The following is a 22,934-nucleotide window of genomic DNA, read 5'->3' on the forward strand; positions in this document are numbered from 1 at the left end:
ATGACTATTTTAATCATACCTGAGAACTTAAGATATCAAATTCCTCATTTCTGAGACAGTCAGGAACTCCCAAGATAAAGATTGAGCTGTTTCCTTTAATTCCTTGTCTCCCAACCTAAAGTGGTGGAATTTACGTTCAGTTGACAGCCAGGCTTAAGAGAGGTAAAGACATCTAATGGGCTTGACCCTGGCCCACTTTTCTCCTGGGCTGGCCCTTGTCCTGATGGGGAACATTCTCTATGTTGTGGTTGTCATGTCTTAAGTCACAGGACCAACATCACCAATAACAGTTTTCAATTTGGGACAGCACCAAAAATACTGCAAGTTATTTCTATTCTTCAATTTCTTAAATAGCAGGCAGAGAGATTTTTCAAGGACCAATTCTGGATTGTGAACACAGATTTCATTTATGGTATCCTCAACTTCTTCCCACATAATACGTGACATTCAAATCTTTTTAAAATTGATTTCTCCCTCTTCCTAATAAACCAGCCTGCTCTTCAAGGAGTGGCTATAAGTCATTCACTCTTGAAAATTTTCACTTTGGTTTTGGTTATTCTATAGTGATCTGACAGCAATGAGCAGGGAGGGTCTCTTATAGTCTATCTCCCCAGTTAATATGCCCTGTGAAGAACAAACACACTTAGATGCTAATTGAGGGTTTTGCCTGAGCTTGTGATATGCCATCCCAGAGACTGCCATTGACAACTGTTAACACATACTGCTCAATACCCATATTGTTCTGATTAGAGAAAAGTGAAGTATCAGGAGTGCAGAGCGTCACTGGGATTGTGGGAACACAATACGTAAGTCACAGCCGCCTGTGGCTGCCTGGGGAGAGAAGAGTTTCAGTGTGTTAGAACGAAGTTCTATGAGAGCAGAATCTTTGTCTTTTTCACCTCTGTATCCACAGCATCTTGAATGTTCCCAGCACATGGATGACACTCAATAAATGTTGTTATTGTCGATGAAAGAATAATGGAATTCAAGGCTGTAGCAACAGAAGTTCTTATTTAAAATGGAATTACAATGAAATCTAAAAACACATAGAGGGCACTTATTAGGTTTGTATACATACTGTACATATACACTGATTCTACCCTTAGCAACATCTGCCCCTCAACCCCACCATCCCCCATCCTCGTACATAAACTTAAATTATAAAAGGAAAAAATCACGTGGAAGAGAGAGTTAATAGAATTAATGTCTCTTTTATTCTTCCTTAGAACTATATAATGAACAGTTATTTCATATTGTTGCTATCTGTTTTCTGCTTTTATATCATTTTCTAGATTATAAGATTCTTGCAGACAGGAAGTCTCCTGACGACTTTCCATCCTTGGCAACTAGTAGGATATCTGACAGTAGAATGTTGCTACAAATTGGTTAACTTTTCTGGATAGGTGTCCTACAGGGGACTAATGGTAAGGACAGCCTGATGATATACAATGGAGAGGCTCAGGCAGACTAAGCAAAAGCTAGTGGCTAGGAATCCAAATGTTCCCCCTTGAAAACCAAACCTCTCTCGCGTTTTAGTCAGGTTTGCCAGGTCTGTAAAAGGTGAGCAGTCTTGGTCTCTAGTCTTACTTGTATATTACTTCTCCCTTTCCATGTAAAATCTCTCCTGGGACTTGGCTAATGCAATATTAGTGTTTTCACTGTATTGGTTCATATACTGGCAAACCTTCTGCTTAACAGAGGCAGTGAAAGGTATAATGGGTAGATGGTTGCTGGTCAGGGGACAGTTGCTGATCCAGGGCCAGTTAAGCCAGCAGACAGACATCCTGGGGTTTCATCAGACTTAGCATAAGGACAGGAAACCAGGATGTACTCTCTAGTGAACAAGAGGCAGAAAGGCCGACTGGAAGTCAGAGATCTGGGGAAAAGGCTCCTTGCAGGTTCAACAGTTGACCTGGAGGTAGAAGTTGTTAGAGTTTCAGGATGTTGTCAAATGGTCAGAGAACAAACCTCTATCTACCAACAACTACATCATGCATTAAGAAAGTCTCACAGACTAAATCTCCAAAACTCACAGCAGTAAACTTAAAATGCAAATAATTGTTTCTTTTCTGCAAATAAGTTTCTACCTCTTTTTTTTTTTTTTCTCGCTCTGTCGCCCAGGCTGGAGTGCAGTGGGGCGATCTCGGCTCACTGCAAGCTCCGCCTTCCAGGTTCAGGCCATTCTCCCGCCTCAGCTTCCCGAGTAGCTGGGACTACAGGCGCCCGCCACCACGCCAGGTTAATTTTTTGTATTTTTAGTAGAGACGGGGTTTCACCGTGTTAGCCAGCATGGTCTCGATCTCCTGACCTCGTGATCTGCCCGCCTCGGCCTCCCAAAGTAAGTTTCTACCTTTTATCTCTCCTGTCACATTATAGATTACTTGTAGAGATGGAGAGAATTGAATCCATTTATCCTCTGTAGCTGTTATCTCATTACCACTCACCTAATATGTGAATTTATAATAAGTGGTGGATTTTACGTTCAGTTGACTTGGGTAGGTGTCTGATGAAAGAAAGTTTGATAGGACTGTTTGATAAGAGCTTCAGGTGCTTAAAAATAAATGTGCTTCAAAATTCTGAGGCAGTTTCTCAAGGCTTCTGCTGCAAACACACTGACATCATTCCAGTGGCTTTCTTTATTTAAACTCGTCTTTCCTGCAGTCCTGTCGTAGTTCTGCATGCTGCAATGCCACTGTGTGCCTGCCTCTGTTCCACACAAGGCTGCGCTCCTTGAGGGCAGGTCTGTGCCTTGTGTCGGGGTATCCTTAGTACCTGGCAGAGTACTGGGCCCTGGGAATTTCATAATTTAATGTAAATTTCAAGTTTGCTAATTAGAGGGCCTTTATTTGCTTACCTAACAATATAATTATTTCCAGCTAGTACCAGAAAAATAATCAGAGTATTTCTAGGACCGACATCAAAAGTGCCAGTAGCATTTCAGAGTTAGGGTCCTCTGCTCAACTTTCCACTGGGACTTGCCTGCTAGTTTCCTGGCTCATTTGTTATTGGGGGTTGCTGTGCCTGGACTCACATTGCAGTTCCTGCTGTTTTATGGTATTAATGTGAAGGATCCTTTTTCACTAGTGTAGGCAATTATGAATTGAGTGTAATTGCTCGGAGAGGACACGAGTCATGAATAAATACAATCTGAAAATTCCTAACATACATTGCATTATGGCAAATAGATCCTTCTTTCTAGGTTAAATACTTACAAATAAAATATAATTCATAAGAAATATTTTGCAAAGTGTACTATTACTGATACTGCATGCTAATCAAGGCCTATATAGACTAAGTTACTTTATTATCAGGTTAATTTTTTTCAAAATTTATGTTTCCAAATTAAATTAATAATTAAAATCAAATTCATCTCAATTTATTTTCCTTATTCTCTGAATGCTATCCATATATGAATCGACAGTCCAGAATCATGGACCAATTATTACTTCACAAAATCTCATTTCCCATGACTGCATATATTATGCAGATGATAATATTCTTAGGTGTGCATTGTCACCTTGGATTTCACATGATGCTATAAAAGCTAGAGTGACACTGAGAACTGAAAAATGGAAGGGTATAGAGAGTATTTTTGTGTGTGTGATTTATATACATTTTATTTTTTTATCTCATTTTGTTCCATTGACTAGGCCCTCAGTATGACTTAAAGCAGAGATGGGAGCATATTTATCTCATTTATAACTTTAAAAGGAATGAGCCAAATGTTTCACCATTATACACTTACTATGAACCCTTTTTGTTGATATATTTCATAAACTTAAGGAAATTTCTATTCCTAGTCCATTAAGAATTTTTATTAATAGAAACTGAATTTCATCAAATGCCTCTTCTACTTTTATTTTGATGATGCTTTGGTGTTCATAAAATTGTTAAGATAAATTTCATTAATCAATTTGTTAACTGTTATGATGAACTTTTCCCCATAATTAAAAAAATTATTAGTAATATTATTTTAAATTGACAAACAATACTTGTATATATTTATATGGTATAATGTGCCATTTTGTTATGTGTATACAATGTGGCATGATTAAATCTAACTAATTAACATATCTATCACCTCTCTTATTTTTTATGGTGAGACATTTGAAATTTATTCTCTTAGTTATTTTGAAATATAAATACATTATTATTGACCATAGCCACCCTGCTGTGCAGTAGCTCTCAAAACCTATTCCCTCTGTCTATCTGTACCCTTTGATCAACAACTCCTCATTCCCGCCCTCATCAACCTCTTCCAGCCTCTGGTAACCTCAACCCCTTCCGGCCTCCAGTAACCGTCATTCTACTTAGAAAATGTTTAAAAATAAGAATACCAAGAATGAGAGACAGAGGTTATAAATAGATAGAAAAATACTGGAAGGGGGAGAGGAAAGAAAGGGAGGGAGGGAGAGAGGGAAGGAATGAAAATGAGTGAAAAAGAGAGAATTTGAAGATCGTGTGAAAGACAGGGAGGGGAAAATCAAGTGAACACTTCAAGTGATCCCTTGCTATGTGAACTCATCTCTCATCATATGGGCTCAGCACTTTATGATCTAACATAAAGCTTTATGACAGGCCATCAGCAATTTTGTTCATCCTGATATCCACACCTGGCAGTGGCTCGGCACCTGTTGTCTAACTCAACAAGGCCAAGTGCATGCTGCCAGCCCCACGGCGCACTCTGTCCTGTGGCCCCAGACAGCCTTCTCTGAACAGACTCTGTAGACCTGGCCTCCTGGCTGCCTGATTTTGTAGTCATGATGGCTTCAATAACTTCAGGCATTATCCATGGAAATGTACTGCAAACTTGACTTTTTAAATTAGGTATTTCAATTTCCATAACTTATGAAATCTCAGTTATTTTGTTAGTTCAGTGATGAGCTTAAGGGTATCATTTGCAAAATCATTTCTTCCAGATTCTTCATTAGGTAATTATAAAAACAACATTTCCTCTTCTATGGCATGAAGAGGAAATTAAACCAGTCTTCCATCACTATCAAAATATTAATTTTCTTAATATTTTAATTGAATCCATTCCTCAGCAATAACACCTACCATTTACCAAGCATGTACATGTGCCAGGGACTGAGCCCGTGGCTTTGCATGGGTCTTTTTTTAATCCTCACAAGCTACTCTTCCACAATGACTGCCAATCTACAGATGAAAAAAAGAGGCACACAGTGGCCCAAGAACTTGCTGAAGTTTACAAAGTTAGTGAGTGGTGGAACCAAGTCTATGAACCCATGAATGAGCTCCAGAATTTTCTCTCTTAGCTATCAAATTATTCTGCGTCTGCAAGGTTGTTTAACAATAAGGATTGCCTAAACCATGCCTGTGTATCTGTGTATCCTTTGAACACTTACTCTCAGCTGAAATTGGTGAAATGACTGACAAATCTTATTTTTTCATAAAGGGATGTGTTTGTAACGGAATTCATTTTCTGATAAAAAATATTATCTAAAATGTTTTTCCTACTATTTTGCTATAATATCAACTGAATAGATGGGAAGGCCCTTCACCAATATGTAGGTACTATCTAGAATAGATGGGAAGGCCCTTCACCAATATGTAGGTACTATCTATCTAGTTAAAATGAAGTGTAGGTTGTTGAAGCCCCAAGGAAAAGAAAGGGTGCTAAATTTTTCTTTTCTTTTTTTTTTTTTTTTTTTTTTTGAGATGGAGTCTCCCTTTGTCACCCAGGCTGGAGTGCTGTGGCACAATCTTGGCTCACTGCAAGCTCCGCCTCCCAGGTTCACGCCATTCTCCCACCTCAGCCTCCTGAGTAGCTGGGACTACAGATGCCCGCCACCACGCCCGGCTAATTTTGTTTTTGTATTTTTAGTAGAGACGGGGTTTCACCGTGTTAGCCAGGATGGTCTCGATCTCTTGACCTTGTGATCCACCCGCCTCAGCCTCTCAAAGTGCTGGGATTACAAGCGTGAGCCACCACGCCCGGCTGCTAAATGTTTCAACTCCTAACATTCCTAAGCCTAGGAAGGAAGTCCTTCCCAATAATATACAGACTGTACCTATCTGCATAAAATGAAGCACAGGTTTATTACAATGATTAGAGTAATACTAGCAAGAACCTCAAGTCTCTGTGACTAACAAAAAGGTCCACTTTATTATTTTGGCACCTATATTCTTCAGATGCAGAAGCCAACCACTTGCCTCTTCTCTTCAATTTGCTTGAGCAGATGGGGGATGCAAAGGCTGGTAACTACAAGACTACATTTTCTCTTGGGTTGAGGGAATAGATTGGGGAAAAGAGAAAAATGTATGCTTTTATGGAGAAACTATTGTTTCTCCCTGGGCAAAGCGAGGGATCATCGAGAAATCTTGTATGCTGTATAAAAATTATTTTCAAAATCATGGGTATATAATCTCTTCCCTTTCCTGTTTGTTGAAAAACATGCACATAACACCAAGTTACTTTATAGGCCAGATGAGAGGAAAAATAAAGTAAATGACTTAAACTTCCCAATTTTTTCAACAGTTACAAGGAAGACACAGTAAGATGTGATCTTCTAAAGTGAAAATTTCCCAAAGTACCAAGGAAAAGGAGAAACTGCAGAAGAGCTTCAAGAACCACAAACACTTGGGTTTTGCATCTTGCCAGAAAATCTGCACTGTTGGTAGAAGCCTGGGGTAGGGCTGGCAGGACCTGACTCAGCGGAGAAAATGCCACCCACAGTCACTGACTCTGCTTCCGCAGTAGCGGAGCTCCCCTGTTTTCTCTGGAGGTTTCCCACAGCCGGGCCAATACCCATGTCTCTCAGATGGGAAACTGGACTTTTGGAAAATTGAAACTAAATAAAGTTGTATAACTTTTAAAAGAAGTTTACAATTATGATGCTTTGCTTTTCACATGCGCTTAAAGTCCATTTTCTGTTGAATAAATAATATTAACCACATATTAACCACCTAATAGTTTTAAAATGTCTCAAACAGCCATCACCATCATTCTGAACAGAATCACACTTCTTTTTAAAAGATCACTGTTAAAAGATGAGGGGAAACAGTACCATTAAAAGGAAGCAAAACATAGTTCAAAGTCTGCTTCCATGAGGTAATGTACACTATCGACTAATTGTCAAAGGAATCCAGTCTATACCGAGATGAATGAAGCATGAGGTTAAGGCAGGTGGCTGGGAGAAGTTAGAAACTCTCCCTCCCCGATTGCATTACATTATTGTCGAAGCCAAGCAGATAGATAGAAATCAATGAAAGTTTTGTTGATCTGACACAGGAACTTGTGCACAGTGAAATGGAAGCTATGTATTTTGTGCTGGAAACTGCCAGTCTCACATTAACTGCATGTATATGTGAATATATGTAGGTTTGTGTAGGTTTGTGTGTGTGTGTGTGTGTGTGTGTGTACAGCATGAAGCAGAACATCTGAAAGAATCTTCAGAATTATTTCTCGTTAGATGTACTTTTGGGTAGATTTTATCTTTTTCCCCCAGAAAGTAATATTTCAATATAGAAATTTAGGCCTCAGCAAAGTGAGGTTTTTTTTTTTTTTATGTTACAATGCTTGCAAACTTAATGGTGGTTTCTAATGGAAAACAAATTTCTTCCCCTAATCATAATATAAGAATTTGCAGGCCAGGCACAGTGTCTCATGTCTCACGCCTATAATCCCAGCACTTTGGGAGGCCAAGGCGGGTGGGTCACTTGAGGTCAGGAGTTTGAGACCAGCCTGGCCAAGATGGTGAAACCCCCTCTCTACTAAAAATACAAAAAAATTAGCTGGGCATGGTGGCAGGAGCCTGTAATCCCAGCTACTTGGGAGGCTGAGGCAGGAGAATCGTTTGAACTTAAGAGGTGGAGGTTGCAGTGAGCTGACATTGCATCATTGCACTCTAGCCTGGATGATAGAGTGAGAATCCATCTCGAAAAAAAAAAGAAAAAGAAAAAAGAAAAAACGAAAAACTACAGTTTTCTTTAATATAAATAAAATCTCTTGTATTTGTACAAACGCAATTGTGGAAAACACTGAAATATTTTCCTATTTATTTTTATGCTGGTCAGCAAGTGGTTTGATTTCGGTAGCCAGACTCCAGGTGCAGAGTTCAGAACTATAAATTTGTTGTACCTCCTATCAGTTAAAGTTGACTGAGATGGCCATCCCTCCCCAAATCACAGTTCGTCTTGAAAATCTTCAGAGTGTGAAAAAGGTATGGCTCAGAACAAACACCAGTGGTTAAAAATGATATCCTTTTCCCAGTAGCGATATACATTGTGGGTATGTGATTAGAATATTTAAAATACCTGTTCACCTGGTATTAAGCCACATGTGTAATACATTAGAGTGTTCCTGGCTCATTTCCAAGAGTATGTATCCTCACTGCCATGAAAATACTGCGGGAGCCAGGGCAAAGATACTTAAGTTTCACCCTAGAAGCAATGCACAACATATATATTTCACTGTTAACAATATCATCACACTAAGCATTGTTGACTGACTAATACTTCAATGAAATCAATTATTTATTTTTGTGTCAGAAGAGAAACTGGCAGCATAGGGACACTTGTGTTATCCTTGCTAATTACTTCCATTGTCTTGAAATCTCAATCAACCTACCCCCTTCTCTTTCTCCCTACATCTCTCTCGTTCTTTCACTTTCTCTCTCATTGTCTAACTCCTCTTCTTGGATACAAAGTAGTTCAAAGGGGACACCAGGAAATAAATTATATCCTAATGCTATCTACCAGAGTTCACTAAGAGAACTTGGGCAAGCCCCTCTATTTGGCAGAGTTCCACTTTTTTTTTCTTTTAACTCTATTTTGACTGGACTTAATAGAATTACTTTTGACTCCTAGTTTTTTTCCTTTTTCTACCCTTTCCCTAGTTTAAAAATCTGTGTAGTGAGGACCTTATTTCTGAAGAATTTCATCACGTTATTACACAAGAAATATACATACATTATATGATAATTTATAAAATGTGACATTTTATTTAAATGTAAGCACCAAATACACTGAAGATTTCAGTGTCCAAAGTATGCGTGTGTATATACAAGTGAAAGTTTAAAATTTTTGCCTAAATTTACATATGCAAAAAGGAACAGCAGGAAAATAAATACCAGTTGTATGAGCATCATGTGCTAATGGCTATATATGTACATAAGTTAATTCTTACAGGAAGACCAAAAGTGAGTTTTATTATCCCTTTTTTACTGCTTCAGAAGCTGAAGCTTGGTGGAAATTCAGAATGTTGCCCAAGATCACAGAGTTTATGAAAGTGGCAGAAACCAGGTTTGTCTGACGCTAAAATGTGTGTCTGTCCCTCCTCCAGCACCACACTGTCTTTTTTATGAAAGGGCAGGGCTTTTATTATATGGATGTGAAAGTGTAAGGGGAGAGTTTTCATATTTGGCAGTATTGTATTCAGAATCCTGACCTGTTTAGGTGATCATTAAAAGTGCACATGTCCTGGCTGGGTGTGGTGGCTCACACCTGTAATCTCAGCACTTTGGGAAGCCGAGGCAAGCGGACCACTTGAGGTCAGGAGTTCAAGACCCAGCCTGGCCAACATGGTGAAACCCCGTATCTACTAAAAATACAAAAATTAGCCAGGTGTGGTGGCACATGCCTGTAGTCCCAGCTACTCGGGAGACTGAGGCAGGAGAATTGCTTGAGCCCAGGAGGTGGAGGTTGCAGTGAGCCGAGATCGTGCCATTGTACTCCAGCCTGGGCAACAGAGTGAGACTCTGTCAAAAACAAAACAAAACAAAACAAAAAACTGCACATGTTCTGAGGAAGGAGGATCTTTTGATCCCAGGAGTTTGAGAAGAGCCCAGGCAACCTAGCGAGACTCTGTCTAAAAATTAAAAAGTGCACTACTTCATTAGGAACTTCTAAATTTATAAGATTTTGATTTATGTTTCAATTTACTGTAAAGAAGCTTATATAGTTTAAAATAAACCTCCTAGGCCAGGCACAGTGGCTCACTCCTGTAATCCAAGCACTTGAGAGGCTGAGGTGGGAGGATCACTTGAGCCCAGGAATTCGAACAGCCTGGGCAACATGGCAAAATCCTGTCTCTACAAAAAATACAAAAATTCGTTGGGTGTGGTGGTATGTGCCTGTGGTCCCAGCCACTTGGGAGGCTGAGGCAGGAGAATCACTTGAGCCCAGGAGTTGGAGGTTGCAGTAAGCCAAGGCTGTGCCACTGCATTGAAGCCTGGGCAATGGGCATGAAATCATCTCAAAAAAAAAAAAAATAAAAACAAGCAAAACGAAAACAACAAACGCAACAAAAAACCTCCTGAGGCCTCTATAATTTGCTTTTTTAATACACTGTATGTGATAAATAGTCCTCAGTCACAGAAATGCATGTGCACCTTATTAGTGCAAACTAAAATTATATGAATATTTCTGAAGCAACTTGTCCTATGAAATAAAAATATAAGTTTGGTGAAAGCTTTCAGGCTTTTTAGCACACACACATATACATACTTACAAAACGTAAAATATTTTGGCACTTCCACTTTTCACAACTGTTTCTGTCTTTTCCAGCGGAACCTCTCTCAAGAATTGTCATTATGCTAATTTACTGCTCGAGACCACGGAGTGTCTTTCTGATGCCAATTGTATCACATTTAATTCCACATCAAATATTTAGAGTGCTTGATTTCCCTGTCTCTTCTTCCCATTTTCATTGCCATCTTTCTTATATCTTTTTATTTATGTGAATATTCTCTTCATATCAAGCTAATACTTTTCATGCCCTTGTTTCTTTTTTCTTGTGACTCTTTGCATACTTGGTTTTTTGAAAGTTTGCCCACGTTTTTCATCAATTGATATCCATCTTTCTGAATTTGACTTGTTTGAGCCTAAAAAGGACTACCAATCATGGCTGCCTGTCCTGACCTTTTAAACTTCTTTCTACCACTTATTGCTTGATGACATGGTATCAGGAGCGGCACTGCCATCATGGTCGTCGTTATCATTATTGTAAACCTTACCAAGTGTCAGACCCTGTTCTAAGCATTTTATAAATGTTTATCCATTTAATTCTCATAACAGCTAAGCAGAAGATAGTATTATTAACCTCTATTTACAGACGATGGGATTAAGAAACAGAGAGTTGGCCGGGTGCAGTGGTTCACGCCTGTAATCCCAGCACTTTGGGAGGCCGAGGCTGGCGGATCACCTGAAGTCGAGAGTTCAAGACCAGCCTGACCAACATGGAGAAACCCTGTCTCTACTAAAAATACAAAAAAAATTTAGCTGGGCGTGGTGGCACATGCCTGTAATCCTAGCTACTCGGGAGGCTGAGGAAGAATTGCTTGAACCCGGGAGGTGGAGGTTGCGGTGAGCTGAGATCACGCCATTGCACTCCAGCCTGGGCAACAAGAGTGAAACTCCATCTCAAAAAAAATAAAATAAAATAAAAAATAAAACAGACAGTCTAAGTAATTTGCCCAAGGACATATAGAACTCAGGCAGTCTATCTCCAGAACTGATGCTCCTCAACACTGTGCTATGTTGCCTCCCTCTAAATACCCCATAGTTCTCATTACGTTGTTTTGTCCAGTTGATTCCCACATGTATTTTCTACCTTAATTGGACTGTAAGTTTTGTGAGGTCACAGACAATGTCTTCCAAACTTGTATTTCTCCTGGCATCAATATAAAGTTCTGTATATCCTAAGAATTTAATAATTATTGCTTGAATAAAACAAAATCTACATATAAAAGTGGAAGCAAATTTTTAAGATATACATACTGGAAGGCCACTTTCAGAAATGAAGGTAAAAATATAACAAAAATCTTGAATGCTTTAATGAATAATTTGCAATATAAGTCTAACTGCATTGAAAATCGATAATGAAATTGCTGTATTAATTTCTTTGCACTTCTATTTAATATTTCTTAACTGTCATTATAAGCATTTGATGCATAGAATAAGCATACTTTCTTTTGTTTAAGCCAAGCTGCTTGCATTATTTTGGCTTTCTATTACAGATAATACTGTAGACATTTCAAATCCACAATGATTTGGAGGTAGTCAAATCAATATCAGCTACATAATACATAAAGGATGGATGCAAATTTTATAGCAAAGAAATTAATAATTTATATCTGTTTACTGTAACAAAATTTTTTGTCAGCTTTTTCTGAAGTTTAACAATGCTTGAGCCAATATTGATAAATTATGTATAACATATAACTGTTTAAGATAAAATGCTACTAAAATAACTATATTATTTCATGTTTATAAATGTTACAGAATCTATTATATGTAGTAATTCACGTAGTACTCTTTCTGTATGATAGCCTAGCATAGTTACCATAGCTCATATCACTATTACATCTAAAAATATTTTTTATTTCAGCAGTTAAAAAGAACCAATATTTTCCATATTACAGACTTTGCTGAAGAGTCAGAAATGAATAATATAATATCAAAGGTAATAATTTCCCAAACTGAATTTATCCTGCATGGTACAAATGACTCAACAATGAAAATTTTGTTTAAAAAGTATTCATGTAAAAGGCTTTGTCCCTGGAATACAGCTCTAAGTGGCTCACTATCTAGGTTGAAAATGGTTTCGCAGGGTTGTATGTCCTATTTTTCCATGCCTGCAGTAAAGATACAATATGGGAATTCAGCTTGGTAATTACTAATACACCACACAGACACAATTACACCCTGTATGCTGCATAAAGGAATCACTTGTGGTCTGCATCCATTACAAAGAGCAGTAGGGGGCCAACATGCAAGACGACAAAATGCTTTACAAGACGGAAGGAGACCAGAAGAGTCGATGTACACAGATACAAGGACCTTGATTCTTCTAGCAATGATTTAAGCCTCTTTCCATCAATTATCGTCTTTTGTCTCAAGAGTCTTATCACCAGCAGCATTACAGGAACTGAACATAACAATGCTCAGACTCGTATAACCCTATGAACTGTGCTGACATTTCCACACCCTGTTGCTATGTTTGACCTGGTTTACAGATTACTTAAGCAAAACAAAATAGAAAAAAAAAGCATTCCCATTGCAAAACTGGCATACACACACACACACACACACACACACACACACACACACACGTATTTTTTTATGACTTACTCAGAATTCCATTTGTTGAAACTAAAAGCCATCCTACTCCAGAAATGCTATTTTTCAAAGTAGTTTCTACATCATTTTAAAGATTAAAAGTAAAAATCTGCTTGAGTGAAAATAATAATTTTAAGAAAGAGACTAAATGTTGGCATGTTAAGGGGATACAGACTGAACAAGAGAATTTCATGTCTCAGGGAGCTAAACTAAAATGAGTCAGCTGCTCTCTTAAGGTACAATGAGTCACAGGAATAATTTTCTTGCTGTGAAACTCCTTAAAGTTTTGAGTTTAATTGCAAGCAGTAAGTGGTTTTTATTATAACAGAGTTTCCTCTGTTAATTATTACACGACGTACATTATTTTACAATACTTTCATTTAAGATTCTCTTTTAAAATACATCTTACAAATATGAATTTTTAAGACCTTAGGAAAGTTAGTTATTTATGGCAGTTTGTCAGGTTCCCTGAAACAAAGCCTTGTCTTTCAGAAAATGTTTACAACCTATGAGGAAAAAAAAAAAAGTATCCTGGGGCTAAAATGTTTATTGGCACCTAGAAGTCTGAAGAGAGAGTCGGGCCTGTGGTTTTTTGAGGGCACTTTATCATCGCCCGCATTCTCAAAGGTTTCTCTGAATGAATAGAACTGGATTACTCAGCCTTCTATTCCACGCCTATTCCTCTCCATTTTCCTTGGCACGACTGAGAGCCAGGCTATTTTTAGTTAAGCAGTTTTCTATTTTTAGACAACTACCAGTTAGAAGACATTTGTTAGGGAAAAATTAAAAAAAAAGCACACACACACAAAGGGAGGAGGGAAAGAAGCTTCCTCCACATATTGTGAAGCAGCCTTCAACCTGTAACTCCAGGCATTTCAGCTGCTTTCAATCTTGGAAAAATAAAGAAAAATTCAGAGTTCAGGGTTTTAAAAATAAACCTACCCTCTGGCAAACAGACCAAAATACAACAAGCTGTTACTATGTGAAACAGTGACTACAAAAACAAAGAACATTCTCCAATGATTAAACTGCGAGAAAAGTTGAAGAACTGATTAGGTTGTAAGAATGTTGCACAGGCATGTAACAATTTTCCAGCCTCTCAGCCAGATGTATCATGTTTTAGAATTTAGAGAGGGGAAAAAAAAATCTCATCTGTAAAGTTAAACTAACGATGTGGGATGCAACTTTAAGGTTGAACCTTTTATTAAGCTTAAAGGCAATGAAATTCACTGCATTTTTCTAACATTTGTGTTCTATGGAATTTCTCTAGAAATTATAACCATCTGTTTATAGAAAAACCATACATTAAAAAATCCAGTGCTAACAGAAAACAAAAAATAAAGGCTGCTACATATACATACTACATATATGTGTGTATATATATACATATATGCATTTAATGTCCATATATCACTACATTTATTAGTCTCACTTTTAGTTTAAATGGGAAAAATGGTTCTCAGATTGGCTTAGCATATCAAATTATTCTACTTATTCAAGGCCATGCCTTCATCTGAAATCTACAGTAAGATTTTTCAGGTGCTCACAGTTGTAACTGCTTTCCTTCTCCTCTGTTAGCCCACTGTACTTTGTCTATATCTTATTATGGTTCAGATAATTGGGTATCATAATCACAGATGCATCACCAGTAACTGGCAGAATGCTTAGCAAATGATCTTCATGTCCATCAATATCTACTGAATGAGAGAACAAATACTGTGTATATTCTGTCCACCATGGACTGCTACTGGCCCTGGAGGGCCGTGAACACCATACTTTGCACATACACTTAATAAATACTTGTGGAAAAGAAAAAAAAAATCAATTCGTTGACCTTTGTTAGATCTTCTTAATTTATGTAAAATGCTACAGTTATTTATATAATCATTCAATATTTACTTATAAATAATACACTTATTAGCATAAACTATGCAGTCGTAAATTAAGAATTTTTGTCTTTCTTTTGGTTAGCATTTTTTCTTCTCTGAACTTTTTCTCTTGACTTTGAAAATAAAACTAATTTTTTAAAACTTAAGGGTTGACAATGGGCTCTGACAGCTGTTATAACCTGCAATCCTCATGACAGCCCCGTAAGGAGCTCAGGGTAGACAGCATTAACTCATGAGGAACCTAAAGCCCAGCAAGGTTACATAACTCGCCCTCCGTTAGAGAATGAGAGTGTGTGATGTTGCTGTAACTGGAACTGAATTTTTAATCTCCATCTTTCCTTCAAATTTGTGGAGCTTTTAAAGTCCTATATCCTAGAAGTAAAATTTGAAAGATGAACTCTCATAACAATGCTTCAACAATATTCTTTAGAAAAATCACTTTGTAGCTTTATTTTTCCCCCACATGAAATTAATTCAGAACAACTACAGTTAAGGAAAACCAATCATGGAGTCTGGATGAAGATAAAATTCCGCACATACTAATTAAGAAAAATCAGAAGAAACCGTGTGCACGCATGATCTTTTCTTTCCTGTTGGAAAAGTTCACAAGGGACCTAGCTTATTTCTACGTTCTTACTACTCATTTTTCCTGTGCCTTTTCCATTTTCTCTTCTTCCTCAGGGCAATTCCAGCTTCAGTGATCCCTCCATTTTCTCGTCTTTCTCCACAAAATCACATAGACTTTAACAAATATTCTGTTCCTTGGAGTAAATGCCAACTGAGTGATTCAACTTTCCTGGTTGGATTTCTCTGCCCTGGCTCAGGTCCTGACTGACGCACAGTGGGCATGTCATAAATGCCTGCTGCAGGAATGGAAGGTGAAGTAGCCAGGTGCAACCTCTCCAGTTTACATATCCTTTATTGGGCTGTATCTATTAACCATCATGCCAGTTTGTTTGTTTGTTTATTTATTTATTTATTTATTTATTTATTTAGAGACTGTGTCTCGCTCTGTCACCCAGGCTGGAGTGCTGGAGTGCAGTGGCACAATCTCAGTTTACTGCAACCTCCGCCTCCCGGGCTCAAGCAATTCTCCTGCTTCATCCTCCCGAGTAGCTGGGATTACAAGCGTGTGCCATCACGCCTGGCTAATTTTTTTTTTTTTTGTATTTTTAGTAGAGATGAGGTTTCACCATGTAGGCCAGGCTGGTCTTGAACTCCTGACTTCAAATGATCCGCCTGCCTCGGCCTCCCAAAGTGCTGGGATTACAGGCATGAGCCACCTCGGCCAGCCCATGCCAGTTATTTGAATGAAAGAGAACACTAGATGCACCAGTTTCGTCATTTACTGTCCAACAGAGGGTTTCTTTCATAATGGACAATTATATTTGGGAGCCACTAGTCACATCTTGCTTGAAATGTGGATAGTGAGACTGAAAAGCTGAACTTTTAATTTTATGTAATTTAAATTATATTTATATTTGTATAGCCACATGTGGCTAGGCTACCTTACAGATTAATGCAGATCTATGTCTTTTCATCTGAAGTCTGGTTATATTATCCAAAGAAAATTTACATGACACAAATGAGTTTATAATTGTCATAGTATAGGTGCTAAATATACCATTTATTTACAAATGTGTACAGTAACTTTCAAAGGGGTTGGGTTTCTGGAACTAACCACAGAGTCAATCAATAAACTTATGTCCTATTGAAATAACTGAGAGTGAAGTTGGCTTTAGATTAGTAGTAGCTCATGCATAGGGTAACTTTGGTCTATTTTTCTATGAAATGGTTTCCTCCTTGACATCATAGTGATGGAACTTGTTTATGATTAAATAGTAATATGCACACTTTTATTTTTGAAAAATAAAGTAATTCAGAAATTATAAAATAAGTTACTATTATTAAAATAAGTTACTATTATTAATTCATATATCTACTTTTTTGTAATACTTTTTTTTTTTTTGAGATAGAGTCTTGCTCTGTCACTCAGGCTGGGGTACAGTGGCATGATCACAGCTCACTGGAGCCTCAACCTCTCATGCTCAGGTGATTCTCTGACCTCAGTCTCCTGCGTAGCTAGGAGTACAGGTATGCACCACCACATCCAGCTAATTTATTTTTATTTTTGTAGAGTTGGAGTCTCTGTATGTTGCCCAGGCTGGTCTTGAACTCCTAGGCTCAAGTAATCCTCCTGTCTCAGCCTCCCAAAGTGCTGGGATTACAGGTGTGAGCCACCATGCCTGCTATAACTATTTTTTTTTTTAATGTGAGGAAAAAACCCAAACACCCATTGTGTAGTTTTACTGTTTACAACGTTTCTTACCCTAGAACAGTAGCTCTAAATAGTTATTCAGTTTATTTACTAAAACATAAAGATAAGAGATTTAATTGATATGAAGAGGTTTTCAGAATCTAATTAACCTTCCAGCTAGTCATTAACTCTATGACCTTTAGAAATAATTGACAGAGAATTTTTTTTCTTATTCATAACTTCTTCCAGGTGGTTAAATTTCAGAGTAGTGCAGAATACACTAAACACCATTGAGACATGACTGGATAATATGCCAAATAGCTATAAAATGGGGTATATTTCCAATAATATAATCTATTTACTTAATCTGTTGTACACATATGCAGCATTTACCTAATTACAGTCCTTTTAATGACTGACTTTGATTAAGTCTTTTCCCAGAATGTCCTATTGATTATTTTGACCAAGAAAATAATGAAAAAGTTATGGGTACTACTATCTCTCTGCACCCAAGGCACATGCCCCTAACCAATCACATCACACTTCCTGAATGTCTGGACTTGGACTCAGCATCTTCCTTAACTGTGTGCTCCAGGCAGCCAGTACAAAGTGATGGGCACACACTAAGGAGTGAAATGTGCCAGAGTCCCACCTCACTGGGTAGTGATGTGCCTTTTATGAATGTATCACACTTCCAGAAAAACCTAAGACACTTCCTTTCAAGAATTAGTTTCACAGAATTTCAGTTGTAAGAACCTGTTTTATAGCATGATTCTAACCCTCCATAAAATTACAAAGAGGAAATAGTCTACAGACACACTTTCAAATTCCATGAAGAAGGAAATACATGTTTGGAAAAGGAAATCTAGATCCTTTCTACTCCAGCAGCATCAGCATCACCTGGTCAGAAATAAAGGGATCCTGGGCCCTGCCCTATACCCACTGAGTTAGAATCAGCATTTTAGCAAGATACTCTGGTGATTCACACTGGGCCACAGGCATTTCATTTGACCCAATACTGGCCAAAGCACTAACAGGTTTCTTCTCTCTTCTCCAGTAATCAAAATACTGTACCTTGGTCTGGAAGTCCTTTCCTTTCCACCAGCACCACAAGCAATACTTTTACTTGGTTTCCTGTGCCTTGTAATTTAATTATTTATTTATTTTTGATGCAAAACAACATTTACTCACTCTAGCTGACTTGAAAGATTCTCACTTTTATTATTAGAACACATCGGATCTCACCAAAGAAAAAATTGTATATTTAAAAATTTTATTTATGCTAATGATCATCAGTAAGTTGATATATATTGAATGTCCACAATATGCTAGGCATTGAGCTGGCAGCTGGAGGTACAGAGATGAACAAAGCTTCGTCATGCCCTTCAGGGAAAGGAGAGGGATTTGTAATTAGACAAAACAAAAACAAACCCCCCAAAACCAACAGTGGGGTGAAGAAATTAAAATAAACACTCCTTAATGAAAAGAGCCATCATCTTAGAATTCTGCTTCTAGGCAAGCCTCAGAATCATTCTTAGAACTTTACTTTTGAATATTTCATGACTATATATTCAGTAACTTTTCCTGAGGAAGTAAGAATATTCTACACTTTGATTCTTATTCGGCACCTTTTAGAGCCAATGTTAGTTTTACTTAGATGATATCAATGGCTAGAATGTAACATTTGGTTCAAATATGCTGCTTACCACCAAGTTCCATATGCCATGAAATTTGTAAATATCATTAAAAATTGACAATTATCATCCAGGCTATATATTTTTCTCTTTTCATTTCCAGGTATGGTGGGAGTCAGGTGAAGAGAGATCACATGAGATCTTTGTTTTGCTCTAGTTCAGGAAGGTTCATGTAAAATAATAATGATGACAAAATGGTAATGATTAATATTGATAAAGAAATTATATTACTGATAAAAGTCTATATTTTGAACCCTGTCTTTTCTGCTTCTACTATTATTAAGTAATTATCTGCTCACTGTGTTCATACTAATGCTTGCAAACTATTAGAGCTGTGTAATAACAGAGACTAGAGGAAGCTCAGTTTTATTGCCTCACATTACTATTTGTTCAACAATGATTATTTTCTTAATAAATGAGATGTGAAGCAGCTCTTCGTGTTTATAAAACATGTAAATTAAGCAAGAAGATTATTTTTAAAAAAGAAATGGCTCTTCAAATTTGATCTATACAAATCATTGTGGTATAGTTATGAGAAATATGAATACATTTAAAAAATTTTAGACTCATTTCTTCTTTAAGACTTTGGGGAACAAGTAAAAATATTATTTACAGGTACTAATAAAAGTCTTTTAAAGATATATAAACAAAATTATATTAAAATTCAGGAAAATAAAAAACTTTTTAAATAACAAAATCTTTTTCCCCTTTTCCCTCAGAAGCCACAACATAGAAGGTTTAAATCTTTATGGAAAATACTAATACTTTGTTAATTTTTCAATACCATGTATTGAAAAGCAATTATATGCTTGGCTTAACAGAGGGGAGGGTAGACTTACTTAGTCACTAGCAGTAAGATCTATATCAATTATGTTTTATAGTAAATCTAAGAAGGATTTGTAATGTATCTCAAGAATACTATTTCTCTAAATTTTTTTATAATGAAAAATACTTTTCTGGAGAAATTAATTTACTAATTATATAGGTAAATACTGGTCCAATGTTGCTTCAAGTAAATTAAAAATAGTAATAAGACAGAACTATCATCTTTCCATTCACAAGCTTCAAGTTAAAAAAAAATACAGTATACTTCACCCAGCTCACACAGTTAATGTTCCCTGTCAGCCTGGACAACTTGCAAGTGCTTTCTGACCAGATCATAAGTTTACTGATTGACTCTGTGGTTATAGGTTAGGGGTAAAGTGTGCTTTTAGTTTTATGGTGAGTGTTTAGTTCCAGATCAGAGTCTCTCGAAGTGAACATTTATGCTCTGAATTCCAAAATCACAAGGTACACAGTTACTCACTTCCGAAGTGACTCCTCAAATTTTATATTGAAGAATTAATTTTGGTATTAATTTGAAAACACAATTTGTTTAAATATCTCCCTCTTCATATTTCAGTCTAGACCAGTGCTGTCTCATAGAGCTTTCTGTGATGATCAATGCATTCTGTTGTATATCTTCCCTGTTTAATTCAGTAGCCACTAGCCACACATGACTACTGAATGCTTGAAACATGACTAATGCAACTGAGGAACTGAATTGGACATTTTATTTAATTTTAATTCATTTAAATGTAAATAGTCTCATGAGCCTATTGGCTACTATATTGGAGAGTATGGACCTAGATTACTTGAGTGTTTTTAAATTGTGCTTTGATAAACTCTATCAAAATTTAATGAATTGTTTCATTGGAACTGTAAAAACATTTTTTCATACTTTAAATGTGCAACGTTATGCCACATGATAATCACTTGATTATATGTCTGTCTTTCCTGTTTGTTTATTCTATAAATATATTCTGAGGAGGTAACTTTCTCTAGACCTCATGTTAAGCACTGGGAATATGATGGTGAGCAAAACGTGTACAGTCCCTTGCCCTTTGGGAGTTTAGAATCTAGTGTGGGACAGGCAATTGGATAACAACTTCAACAGTGCTCTGATGGGAAAGATAGAACACATGATGACTGTAATACAGGGGAAGCACCTAACCTAAGTTATGGGGGCTTCAAGGATGACTTTCCAAAGTGTAATTGGGACCTGACTTGAGTGAAGGATAAGTAACAGCCAAGTAGAGATCCAGTAAGGAATTTTAAGACAAAACAGAGCTTGGAGAGGTTGAGGAATGTACGTATGTACGATGTGGCTTGAGTATAGGATGGGGGTTGTAAGGGCAGGTTAATGGCAGGGAAATTGCAAAAAGTGAGGCTGAAGAGTAAGAGAAATACATGGATCAGATCATGCATGGCCTTGTGAGCCAACTTAAGGACTGAGAGTCCTTGAGGGACCTTGGTTATATCTGTATCTCCAGGCATTTCATAGCATATAACACAGAGCAGGAATTCAACAAATTTTTGTTCAATCAATGACTGAAAGAAGGAAAATCTGCAAATGATTAGGTAAGTGAATCTGTTTTTTTCTCTTAAGAAAAGTATCCTTGTATAATATGTATCTATATAGCACATAAAAATAATTTTGTACATATATATTTATTTACTTTAAGTTCTGGGATACGTGTGCAGAACATGCAGACTTGTTACATAAGTATACACGTGCCATGGTGGTTTGCTGCGCCCATAAAACCGTCATCTACATTAGGTATTTCTCCTAATGCTATCCCTCCCCTAGCCCCCCACCCCACGACAGGCCCTGCTGTGTGATATTCCCCTCCCTGAGTCCATGTGTTCTCATTGTTCAACTCCCACTTATGAGTGAGCACATGTGGTGTTTGGTTTTCTGTTCCTGTGTTAGTTTGCTGAGAATGATGGTTTCCAGCTTCACCCAGGTCCCTGCAAAGGACATGAACTCATCCTTTTTTATGGCTGCATAGTATTCCATGGCGTATATGTGCCACATTTTCTTTATCCAGTCTATCATTGATGGACATTTGGGTTGGTTCCAAGTCTTTGCTATTGTGAATAGTGCCGCAATAAACATACATGTGCATGTGTCTTTATAGCATCATGATTTATACTCCTTTGGGTATATACCCAGAAATGGTATGGCTGGGTCAAATGGTATTTCTGGTTCTAGATCCCTGAGGAATCGCCACACTGTCTTCCACAATGGTTGAACTAGTTTACAGTCCCACCAACAGTGTAAAAGTGTTCCTATTTCTCCACACCCTTTCCAGCATCTGTTGTTTCCTGACTTTTTAATGATCACCATTCTAACTGGTGTGAGATGTTATCTCATTGTGCTTTTGATTTGCATTTCTCTAATGACCAGTGATGATTAGCTTTTTTTCATATGCTTGTTGGTTGCATGAACGTCTTCTTTTGAGAGGTGTCTGTTCATATCCTTTGCCCACTTTTTGATGGGGTTGTTTTTTTCCTGTAAATCTGTTTAAGCTCCTTATAGATTCTGGATATTAGCCCTTTGTCAGAGGGATAGATTGCACAAATTTTCTTCCATTCTTTGGGTTGCCTGTTCACTCTGATGATCGTTTCTTCTGCTGTGCAGAAGCTCTTTAGTTTAATTAGGTCCCATTTGTCAATTTTGGCTTTTGTTGCCATTGCTTTTGGTGTTTTAGTCATGAAGTCTTTGCCCATGCCTATGGCCTGAATGGTATTGCCTAGGTTTTCTTCCAGGGTTTTTATGGTTTTAGGCCTTACGTTTAAGTCTTTAATCCATCTACAGTTATTTTTTTGTATAAGGTGTAAGGAAGGGGTCCAGTTTCAGCTTTTTACATATGGCTAGCCAGTTTTCCCAACACCATTTATTAAATAGAGAATCGTTTCTCCATTACTTGTTTTTGTCAGGTTTGTCAAAGATAAGATAGTTGTAGATGTGTGGCATTATTTCTGAGGCCTCTGTTCTGTTCCATTGGTCTGTATAACTGTTTTGGTACCAGTATTATGCTGTTTTGGTTGCTTTAGCCTTGTGGTATAGTTTGAAGTCAGGTAGCGTGATGCCTTCAGCTTTGGTCTTTTTGCTTAGCATTGTCTTGGCTATACGGGCTCTTTTTTGGTTCCATATGAAATTTAAAGTAGTTTTTTTCTAATTCTATGAAG

At 37.3% G+C, this 22,934-nt stretch overlaps 1 protein-coding gene across 79 annotated transcripts in view; it reads right to left on the bottom strand.

The window, feature by feature from the left end:
• MEF2C (myocyte enhancer factor 2C) overlaps positions 1 to 22,934 on the bottom strand; it is a 186,989-nt gene that overhangs the window by 55,130 nt on the left and 108,925 nt on the right. For 3 of the 79 annotated variants that reach the window (NM_001364353.2, NM_001364357.2, NM_001364356.2), the window contains exon 1: positions 13,093 to 13,265. The exons of the other annotated variants lie outside the window; for them this stretch is intronic. The gene's annotated coding sequence lies outside the window, so the exon portion shown is untranslated. Of the gene's footprint in view, positions 1 to 13,092; positions 13,266 to 22,934 lie in introns of those variants that run through there. 79 annotated transcript variants of the gene reach the window in all.

The sequence above is a fragment of the Homo sapiens genome, chromosome 5, assembly GCF_000001405.40.
Source record: "Homo sapiens chromosome 5, GRCh38.p14 Primary Assembly".
Classification (NCBI taxonomy): Eukaryota; Metazoa; Chordata; class Mammalia; order Primates; family Hominidae; genus Homo; species Homo sapiens.